At 55.7% G+C, this 10,888-nt stretch overlaps 1 annotated feature.

Moving 5' to 3' along the window:
* Positions 6,028-6,528: an enhancer, noted in NCBI's record as "H3K4me1 hESC enhancer chr12:52591988-52592488 (GRCh37/hg19 assembly coordinates)". NCBI's record gives its function as "activates a minimal SCP1, AML or CMV promoter by ChIP-STARR-seq in primed H9 embryonic stem cells {active_cell/tissue: H9 hESC(primed)}" and the evidence as "EXISTENCE:reporter gene assay evidence [ECO:0000049][PMID:30033119]".

The raw sequence follows: 10,888 nt of genomic DNA on the forward strand, positions 1-10,888 counted from the left end.
CAGCCCCCTGCCCCAAAGAAAGCAGGCCTAGCTCTGGGGAGGGGGCCAAGGCTGGACTGGCCGGGTGGGTTGGGGGTGGGGAGTTGGCAAAAGGAAGGCCATTCAAGGGGGCAGGAGAGAAGAGAGAGCGCCTCACCGCAGACCTCACTGCATACTTGAAGGCTGACGTATCTGGGCTCACATACTTCTGGAAAAGATGAGTCAAGCATAGGCCTTGAGCTCCCGAGTGTAGGGCAGCTATCCTGGGCACCGTGCCAGCCTGGCACTGGAAAACAGCACTTATTATTTATTTTCTGGCTGCCAAAGAGTCTCCCTGGCTTATCTTCCCCCTTCCTTCTACCCCCTCTCCCTTCCTTCCTTCCTTCACTTTAACTAGCATTGATTGAGGACCTACTATGTACACCCTACTGTCTCAGAGGCTGGGAGGACATAGACGGTCAAGGCCAAGGAGCTCTCAGCATTGGAAATGTGAGACCTGGTTCAAGACTCAGCTGGACTGCTCACCACTCATGTGACCTCAGGCACGTTACTTGACTTTTGTCTTCATTTGTAAAGTGGGGATGAAAACACCCACCTCACAGGAGGTAGCATGTACAAAGCACTTGGTAGAGGACAGGGGACAAAGTTGGCCTCAATCAGTGGTACTGCCTTCCGGGTGCTGAGTCTAGCAGGGGCGATGGGTATGGCTGAATGCAGCTCTGCTCTGGGGCAATGAGAATCCCTGCCTTCCTCACACTCTTTCCTCCCCACTCTTCTTTCTCTTCTCTGCCTCCTTTGACCTCTTTTACACCATCTGTGAAGTAGAAATAGAAAAGACCCCATTTTGCCCCCACAGAGCCTCTGACAGGGCGGCAGAGGCCCACCTGGCCCAGGGCAATGCCTACCTTTCCACAGTTCCTGAGACCCCACTCTCCCACCCCAGGGGGTTACCAGCTCTCCCAGCCCTGCGTCTCCTTTCCTGGCCTGGTGGTCCTGATGTTCTGGCCCTGGTGGCTGGATCTGCATGTCTTTCCTGGACCTGGCTCAATCCTGCTCTGGGTGGCAGGGGCCAGAGCAGAGAGAGGAGTGTGTCTGGGAGAGTCACAGATGGTCAGAGATAGAAGGGGTAGCAGCCCCCTCTGGGCCCAGAGGAAGAGAGAGCCCCTGAGCGGGGAGAACCATTTGCCAGTCACATCGCGGACCCTGGGCCTCCACCTCCAGGGCAGACATCTTTTTCACACACTAGGCACTTCTGGCTCACAAGGGCACAGGACCCTGTCTAGAGGCCACGGGTCCATCCTAAGCCTGATCCCAGGATCTGGTGCCGGGTAGGGTAGCGAGGCACTGGTGGGTGACTGACGTGCGCCACGCTCCCCACTCAACACCCACGTGTGGGGCCACCTTGGCCTCCCACCGTCCTCACTCTGGCCTGGCATCCGAATGGCATGTGGTCAAGCACAGCACCTTGCCCCCCACCCGTCACCCCTGTGTACTCTGTGGGGAAGGGAGGGGGCAGCAGTGGCGTCTGGGCTCTGCCAAGGCCAGAATAACAGCTGATACATCAGATATGTCCCAGATGCTTTGCAGGAATTAGCTCCTCAATCCTGACAACCACCACTTGAGGTGGACACTTTAATTCTCATCACTCCAAATGACAGAGGAGGAGGCTCAGGGGGCTGGAGTGTCTAGTCTAAGGCCACACGATTATGATGGATGGGAACCTGGACAGTTGGGGTGAGGAGCTCTTTAATCTGAGCCTCTAAGTTTTAGGACCCCTAGAAAGGGTAGCGGGTTAGAGAAGGAAGCTGCCTTCTTACTGTCTGGGGTGCAGTTTAGGGCAGCCCCGCCACCTAATTCTCTCGGAGCCGAACGCTTTTTTCTCCCAAGTGCCTGTGCATGACTTAAATCTATTTCTTGCTTCCTTCCTTTGGCCTCAGTCAGCTCCTGAGAGTTGACAGGTCTTGGTTAATTGCCAAGTCCCTGGCTCCTAGGCTGGCTTTGCAGGGCTTGCCTCTTGGGCCCCACACCAGGGGGCTTTGCTTTCGGATGTCTTCACCTCCCTGGAGCAATGGAAGGCATGCTAGCCTGGGGCTCTGGGCTGGGGGAGGTATGTGGGGCTTGCCTGTTGCTTCCTTTCTGGCCGGACAGTCTTCCTTGGGTGCAGTCAGTAGAGATGTCTTTGACTGTCACTGCTGTGGCTGCCAAACAGGAACAGCCACAAAAAAGCCCCAAATAAACAAAACTCCACAAACAGCCCAGCCCTACCTCCTCCCTCTCCCCTCCTCACCCCGTCTCCTTTCCTCCCCCAGCTCATCTTCAATCCTCCTGACAACCACCACTTGAGGTGGATGCTTTAATTCTCATCACTCCAATTGACAGAGGAGGAAGCTCAGAGGGCTTGAGTGCCTAGTCTAAGGTCACCCAGTTATGATGGATGGGAACCTGGACAGTTGGAGTGAGGAGCTCTACTCCCTTTACTCTGGAACTGGCATCCCTGGGGGTCCTGGTCCAGGCTGCACTCTCTGAGCAGGGCTCTCTGTCCCAGCTAGGCCAGAGGGCCTGACATCACCCTCTCCTGGCCTTGGTACAGAGCCTGAACCACCTGGGGGCTTGGACCCCCACCCAGGGAAGCAGGAGGCCTGGCAGGGGTTGGGAGGTGGGAGATGGAAAGTGGGGGAAGGTTTCCGTCTCTCTGAGGATGTTTGGGTACCCAAGCAGTCTCCAACTCCCTCCTGGATGTACAAATAAACAAACCTGCTTGGGGCTTCAGGTGAGGATGGGCTTGGACAACCCCCGCTAGAAATAACACCTGGACATCCTGTACCCTCTGGGACTCCGGAACCCTGCTCTTCTAGTCCTTACATGGTCCAGGGACAGGAATCTACATCTCCCTTTCCTGCCTCTTGAGTCTATCCCCTTTACCCCAGTCCCCTGTCACTGGTAACAGGACACAATCCTGATGATCCAGGAGGCAGAGAAAGAGCAGAGGAGGGGCTGGGCTGGCTAGAGGCGAGGAATGGGGAAGAGGCTTAGGCTGGGCTGCCAGAGCCTCCTGGAACTGGTCTTGAAGTGAGGGGGAGTTTTCTTGTTTTTTCTCTCTCCTCCTCCCATTTCCTTCTCCACGTCACTCCCACCCAACCTGTGGTCTGTCTCCTTCGCATTCTCATCCGCCTCCTCTGTGTTTTCGATTGTCATGCTCTCTCTCACTTATCTTACTGTCTGTCTGTCCCTCTCGGAGTCACCTGCCCACTCAGAGTCCTGGCCTGGAGCTCCTCCTTTCGGCCCTGGGTGGGGGCAGAGGGAACAGGGTTTGTGTCCTTGCAGCCCAGTTGGATGTCCTTATGAGAATGGCATCCCTGTGTCATAGTTTCAGCGCCTCCTCTTTGCCTTGCTCCCCATTTGGCCTGAGGCCTCCTGGCCTGTGGAGCATCAGGTCTCTGGAAATGCTGGATGGCAAGACATAGTTGTTGGGTGAATGTTCCAATGGGCACATCCTAGCCTGGGTCAGGCTCTGGGGCAGGATTTGACTCTTGGGGAGACAGACAGGGACTCTCTGGGCAGGGGAGCCAGCAAAGGGTTTGGAATCTACAGGGGAAAATCTTTGTATCACTGCAGGACATGATGGGAAGGAGGGCCACTCCTCCAAGAAGCCTTCCCACATGAGCCTGCTCAAGTTTCTGTCAATCTTTCATCTTCTCCCCTAAATGCATGTCCCCACCTATGGTCGTGATCTGGGTCAGTGCCATCTCCCTTATGAAGTTAGCAACTCCTGGCCTTTATTCTCTGGATATTCCCTTTGAGCAGGGCTGATCCAGGGTCCAAGTCCTGGGAGTGGGAGGACCTAGGCTGGGGGCTGAGGGTCTTTGGCAGACTGTGGCTATGTGGTTAGAAGTTCTTTTTTTTTTTTTTTTTTGAGACAGAAGTTCTTTTTTTTTCTGAGATGGAGTATTGCCCTGTCGCCCAGGCTAGAGCGCAGTGGCGTGATCTCAGCTCACTGCAACCTCTGCCTTCTGGGTTCAAGCAATTCTCCTGTCTCAGCCTCCCGAGTAGCTGGGACTACAGGCACATGCCACCATGCCCAGTTAAATTTTGTTTTGTTTTGTTTTTAGTAGAGATGGAGTTTCACCAGGTTGACCAGATGTTCTTGATCTCGACCTCATGATCCGCCTGCTTTGGCCTCCCAAAGTGCTGGGATTACAGGCGTGAGCCACCGCACCTGGCCCCCCCTTTTTTTGTAACAGTATTTTACTCTGCCACCCAGGCTTGAGTGCAGTGGTGCGATCTCGGCTCACTGCAACCTCTGCCTCCCAGGTTCAAGCGATTCTCCCGCTTCAGCTTCCCGAGTAGCTGGGATTACTGGTGCGCACCACCATGACTGGCTAACTTTTGTATTTTTTGGTAGAGACAGGGTTTCACCATGTTGACCAGGCTGGTCTTGAACTCCTGACCTCAAGCAATCTGCCCGCCTCGGCCTCCCAAAGTTCCAGGATTACAGGTGCCTGGCCTGTGGTCAGAATTTCTGAGGGTCCCAGAGCTGAGGGTTGGGGACGTAAGTGTAGGTGTGGGAAGGGTCAAGAAAGGAGAACTAACAGCAAGGATAGAGAAATTAAGCCTCCTCCACATGCCAGGCAGGCTATGGAGACATGGAAGAGGCAATGACCCAGGTGACGGTGTCTACGATGCCTTCCCAGATAGGGACCATGAGCTCAGGCCTGAAGGAAGAGCAAGAGCTGTCCAGGCAGGGGAGGGGAAGGGTATTTCAGGCTGGGCCAGCATTATGTGCTGCGGATGTGAGAAATTATTTGTGTGGGGTTTTGACAGAGAATGACAACTGAATGAATGAATGACTACTCCAGCTGGTGTTACTGGAGTGTTGGAGGTACTGTAGAGCTCAGAGGAGCAGTGACGCCCTTGGAGTCCCACAGAGGCTTTCATCAAGGCATGTCTTTACTGTGCATACTATCCTTCAGGGGCTCCCCGTGGCTTTGGGGATGGAAGATTCCTCGGAATGCCAAACCCAATCCTTCTTCCTTGCTGGGTCTCACCTCCACTATGCCTTTTTTCTCTCCACAGCCCTGCCCATTTTCCCACCCGCCGACCCCACCACACTGGCCACCTTTCCCTGCACCTGCTGAGTGGTGTCAGGTGATTGGGTTGAACAGCACAGATATAGAACAATTCCATCATCACATATGGTCCTATCGGACAGTGCTGACCTGCAAAGCAGGCATCTGAGATGGGTCAGGAGGCTGCAGATTCCTGGAGGCTGTGAAAGGGTTCAAGACTGTCCAGCGGGCAGCCTGGGATGTGGCAGGAGCACTGAACCTGGACTTAGGAGACCTGGTTTCTGGTCTGGGGCTCTGCCACTCACCAGCTGTGTGGTTTGGAGCCAAATGCTTGGCCTCTCTGGGCCTCAACGGCCTGTAAAATTAGGTTGTACTACAAATCTTTTTTTTTTTTTCCAGTTTAGTTCAACAAACGTTCCTCAAACTGTAGTGGAGCCTCTTGCTCTGCTGGGTACTTGGCTTCCAGTGCGATCCACGGTCCCTGGCCAAGCAGCATGCTGGGAGGTTGGGCAGGTGCGGGTGTTCTGTAATGAGGCCAGGCCTCTGGCGCCAGGGAGAGGTAGGCATGGGCTAATTACACTTTCCTGTCTTCACAGCACTCAGCCCAATTTGTAATTATTTATTGTTGGTGTTTACGTGTTTGTGTCTGCCTCCCCTGCACAGCTCTGTGAGCACACGGACTGTGTGGTGGCTTTGTTTCTTTAGTGTCCCAATGCCTGGCATAGTGCCTGGCACACATCATAGGTGCTTGATAACTATTTCTTTCTGGAGTGAGTAAAAGGCCACCCTTCCTCCCAGCGCCCATGTTACACTGGATTTCAACACAGGGTACAACCGCAAGAGCTTTGGGATGCTGTAGAGTGACAGAGCCCAGGCAGGATGTGGAAGGAAGTCAGCATGGGTGTCCCCCCATCTCTGGCAGCTAGCTTTGGGGCCCCTGCCCCACCCTTGCTAGGCTGTGCTGGGCTCACTGGGATGAGTCACAGGTTGATACTGGGTCCTCTGCCTGGAGGAGTCAGGCAGACCACCGCCATTTGACTCCTAGGCCTGGCATCCTGCTCCTTCAGCTTCTGGCCCAGCGTCTGGTCATGGCCAAATGCCTTGGAGGGGTGAAAAGATTAGGGTCCCTCTTGCAAAGCAAAGAAGCAGAAGGAAGCCTCCCCAAGATGGCAGAGGCCCCACCAGTCCTAGAATTTTGTCAGACATGTATGTGGGGCGGAGCGGGACCAAGCCTTAGGCCCCCAGGTCCCTTTCCTTTGAGGTGGGACACAGGGATGGAGCATGTTGGGGTGGGCAGCTTTCCTCTGGTCCAGGTGTAGGGTAGGCCCAGCCTTCCTGGGGAACCCTAGACCCTGCCCCACTGTGTGGGTGCTTGGTTCATGCCAGTGGCATTTTGGCAAGGCTGCCAGGCCTGCTTCTGGGTGGAGAGGAGCAGGAAGGAGGATTGCACAAAGGGAAACTGGCAGGAGAGCCCTACTTCCTCCGGCTGCTCAATGCCTTGCAGGGAGGGCCGAGGGGCAGCACAGGTTGCCTTGGTTCCCCAGGAAACACCATGTCCTTGCATCTGTGTCCTCTCCCAGGAGGAGAGGCCAGGTCCCAGAAACAGGGGTCCTGTCATGCCCACTCTCCATGCCACCCTCTGTGCCTGGCTGTGACCCATGAGGGAGGTTCCTACAGCCCTCATTTCTTAGGCCTCAGACAAACACTCAGCCACTCCCCTCCCTCCCTCTGTCTCTGGGCTTCACAGTGGCCCTCAGCCACTTCTCCCTGCAGGAAGCCCCCTCACTTCTCCTTTGAGCAAGACAGCTCTCAAAAGCAACCTCCACCACGGCAGGGGCTGTGTTGTTCACTGTTCTGTTGCCACCGGCACATGGCAGGTGTGCAGTAAACAGTTGTTCAATTGAGACACAGCACGCCCTCTATTATTAGCACTTTCTCTATGGCTCTCTTTAGGCAAGGGTCTCTTCTCTCCCTCCCCCATTAGACAGGGCTGAGGACCCTGTTTCTCCTCCTCCTAGTCTCCCATGCCTGGAATCCTGGTCACTGCAGAAACGGGCCAATCTTACCTACCTCTGCTATTTGGGCATTTCTGAGTCTCTACTGGGTGCCTGTCCCTGTGCTGAGCAGTGGGGCAAATATGAAGATAAGCGAGGCAGGGTTGTGATGGGTGTTCACCCCACAATTCTGGATCCCTGCTGCCCCTGAGACCAGCACTTTCTGAGCTCTGGAGTCTCTTTCCATCCAGCCCTGCCTCCGGGCCAGCTGCCGGCTGGTTGCAGCCTCCTCACCCTTCCACTCCTGACACTGTACACAGCTATTTAGCAGGTATCTTCCTCCCTGGGGCTGCTTTCAGGAAAGAACAAAGAGGGACGGCAAGGCTAGGGAGTGGCAGGGCATCTGGAGACACTTATTTGTAAGCCCAACTAGCTCCCCTGAGCTTCAGCTGCTGCCTTTATCTGGCCCGATAATAGACCGAAACCATAGTCTGCTCCCTGTTGAGTGATCTGTGGGCCTGCCAGGGTGGCAGTGGCCCAGGGTGGCGCTGAGCACTGCTCCAACTGACATAGGGCGGGGAGCCACCAGCCTGCAGTCTGCCTGCCATGCAGGGATGTTCTGTCCATCCAGGGGTCCTCAGTGGCTGTCTAGGAGGCTCAGGACATATCTGGAGAAGGGCAGCTTCATCTATTGTGGTGTGTGGTATTTCCAGCACTGAGCACGGTGCCTGGCATATAGTGGGAGCTCCGTGGCTGAACGTTAAGCATTCAGCACCTATTTATCAGAGATCTATGATGTGCAGGAAGCTGTGTTTTCCCCTCCCCATCCTTCTATATGCTTCCTTCAGCACCTGTTGGGGATTCCTTGATGCAGTGAGAGGTGGGGAGTCTCCAAGGCAGTTGGTCTGTGAAAGGCCAGTCGGGTGCCAGCCTTGCCCACCATGTCTCAGGGAGGAAGCATCAGTGCCTAGGATAACAGCAAGTGCTTGCTCATGTGACCAATGCCATCTCCTCAGCACCAGCAGGCAGGCATGGGGCTGCTGCACTCCCATTTTGCAGAGGAATGGGGCTTGCGCCCAGATTTTCCGCCTCATCCTTCAGCACCCAGAGTGCCGCTACCACCCTGGCAGGCTCACAGATAGCTTAACAGGGAGCAGAATATGGTTTCGGTCTATTATCGGGCCAGATAAAGGCAGCAGCTGAAGCTCAGAGGAGCTAGTTGGACTTCCAAATAAGCATCTCCAGAAGCCCTGCCACTCCCCGGCCTTGCAGTCCCTCTGTTGGGTGGGATAAGAGCTGGGGTTGGGCTGGGCTGGGGAAGGGCAGCCAATGGAGATGAGGTGAGGAGCAGAGGGAGTGGGCGGGCTGGGCCAGTGGGCGTAGATGGGCTCAGGACTGGGCCCCGGCCTGGGCTGCTGGATGGAGCAGGGCCGGCTGGTGGGAATCCAATGACCCCAGCTCCTCTCTGAGCGGCCACTGGCTACCTTTTGAGAGGGCAAACAGTGCCAGGAGGGATCTGGGGCTAATGACTGTTTTCCAGCAGGCGATTCCTCTATGTGGGGTTTATCTGCCTGGGTCATCATTCTGCAGTCTGCACTTACCAGGGTAATAGCAGGCTGGTCTGGGGCCTCTGCCTGCCCATTGGCCTTGGGGCCCTGCAAACAGATGGCAGTAGATGAGGGAGGGGAGGGCAGGAATAAACAGGAGCAGCACCCACTGTGTTTTCTGAAGGGTGTCTCCACAGCTTGGGGCGGGGGGAAATCCTGGTGAGGACGGGAGAGAAGATTCAACCTAGGGCCAGGGGCTGGGTTTCAGTTGCCCTCCTCCTCCTCCTCCTCCAACTCCAGCCTCCCGCTTCCTATCCCTCTCGCATAGGGAGGCGGGCAGAGAAACACGCCTACAGCAGCCCATTTCAGGAGACTGAGTGCTGGGTCACTGCAGCTGTGTCCTCAGCTCAGGGTGTCTCCCCTCACCACAGGCTCATTGCCGCCCAGATCCAGGGAACCCCCACGGACACCCGCTCCCCCCAGTCCTTACCCCAACTGTCGACCCCTGCCCAAGTCCACACGGACCCCTTCACTGGCCTCAGCGGTCCCCCTCCTGCCGCACACTGCTTCAAAGCCATCCTCAGGAAGCCCCAGCTGGAGAGGGCAGTGCTGCTGACTGAGGTGGCCTGGGTGAGAGGCGCAGTGCTTTGAGGACTCACGTGGCTTTCCAAATCCCATGGCCACCCATGTGGAGGAGATATTTTCAGTTTACAGTTGAAGATGCTGAGGCTCTGAGAGCTTAAACGACTTGTCTCAGTGTGAGCAGAATAACAGCCTCCCAAAGCTGTCCACATCCTAATCCCCAGAACCCATGAACATGTTCCCTTACATGGCAGAAGGGACTTTGCAGATGGGATTAAGGATCTCGTGGTGGAGAGATTATCCTGATTGTCTGTGTGGGCCCAGTGTCATCACTAGGGTCCTTTAAACTGGACGAGGGAGGCAGGAGACTGAGGTGGTGTGAGGGAGATGGAAGGGAGCCCAGGAATGTGGGCAGATGTGGGAAGCTGGAAAAGGCAGGAAAATGGGTTCCCCTGTGGAGTCTCCAGGGGGACCTCAGCCCCACACCTTGATTTCAGCCAGTGAGACTGTTTTGAACTTCTGGCCTCCAGAGCTGCAGTGGTAAGTAAGATTTATTTATTTATTTAGAGACAGGGTCTTGCTCTGTCACCCAGGCTGGAGTACAGTGGTAAGATCTCGGCTCACTGCAGCCTCCGCCTCCTGGGTTCAAGTGATTCTCATGTCTCAGCCTCCTGAGCAGCTGGGACTACAGGCACGTGCCACCACACCTGGCTAAGTTTTGTATTTTTAGTAGAGATGGAGTTTCACCATATTGCCCAGGCTGGTCTTGAACTGCTGACCTCGAGTGATCCTCCCACCTCAGCCTCCCAAAGTGCTGGGATTAGAGGCATGAGCCACCACACCCAGCCAGTAAGATTTATTTAAATGAAGAAATAGAGTTGTGTTGCGTGGAGCCCCTAAATTCTGGAAATCTGTTACAGCAGCCGCAGGAAGCTAATACTACCAGCTGATAAGTGGTGGAGCTAGATGTTGAACCCAGAGTGGAGGGCTGGTTTCCAGCCTGCTCTCTTGGCCTGGCGTGGCTGTGCCTGCCACTTTCTCTGCCTCTTGTCCCACTCCCTGCCTGTGTTTTCTGAAGGGCGGCTCCATAGCTTGGCGGGGGGAAAGCCTGGTGAGGACGGGAGAGAAGATTCAAGCCAGGGCCAGGGGCTGGGTTTCAGTTGCTCTACTCCCCCGCTCCTCCAACTCCAGCCTCCCGCTTCCTGTCCCTCTCCCACAGGGAGGCGAGCAGAGAAACACGCCTACAGCAGCCCATTTTTTGGGGGTTCATGTTGGGGGCAGGTCTGTGCTGGCTGTCAGAGCTGGGAGTGTGGAGAGCACTGCGGCGGCACAGCTGACACCGCCTCTGCCAAGGTCCACGCAGCCTGGCTGCCTCCACGCTTCACTGGGTTTTTCCTTCCTGGCTGCTGCATCATTTGATGCAGGGGGAGGGGTGGGATGAGGGGGTGTCTTTGGGTCTCTCCTCGGGGGGCCCCTGAGGTTCTGTGTGGCTATCTCAGGGTAGGGGGTGTCTGGGTGCCTGGTGTGGGGAGGATCCGAGGGCCCTGCCCCTGTGGTGTGTGTGGGTGGGGGGTGTCCCAGACACTGTGGCCCTTTCTGGGCAATGTGTCTCTCAGCCCCTGCGTGTGAATCTGGAAACGTGAGCATGCGAGTATGCCTGTGTGTGTGTGTGAATTTGTTGTGACTGTGTGTGAACATGTGTCCCTGCACCCTGTGCTCA

This window comes from Homo sapiens, chromosome 12 (assembly GCF_000001405.40).
Source record: "Homo sapiens chromosome 12, GRCh38.p14 Primary Assembly".
Lineage (NCBI taxonomy): Eukaryota > Metazoa > Chordata > Mammalia > Primates > Hominidae > Homo > Homo sapiens.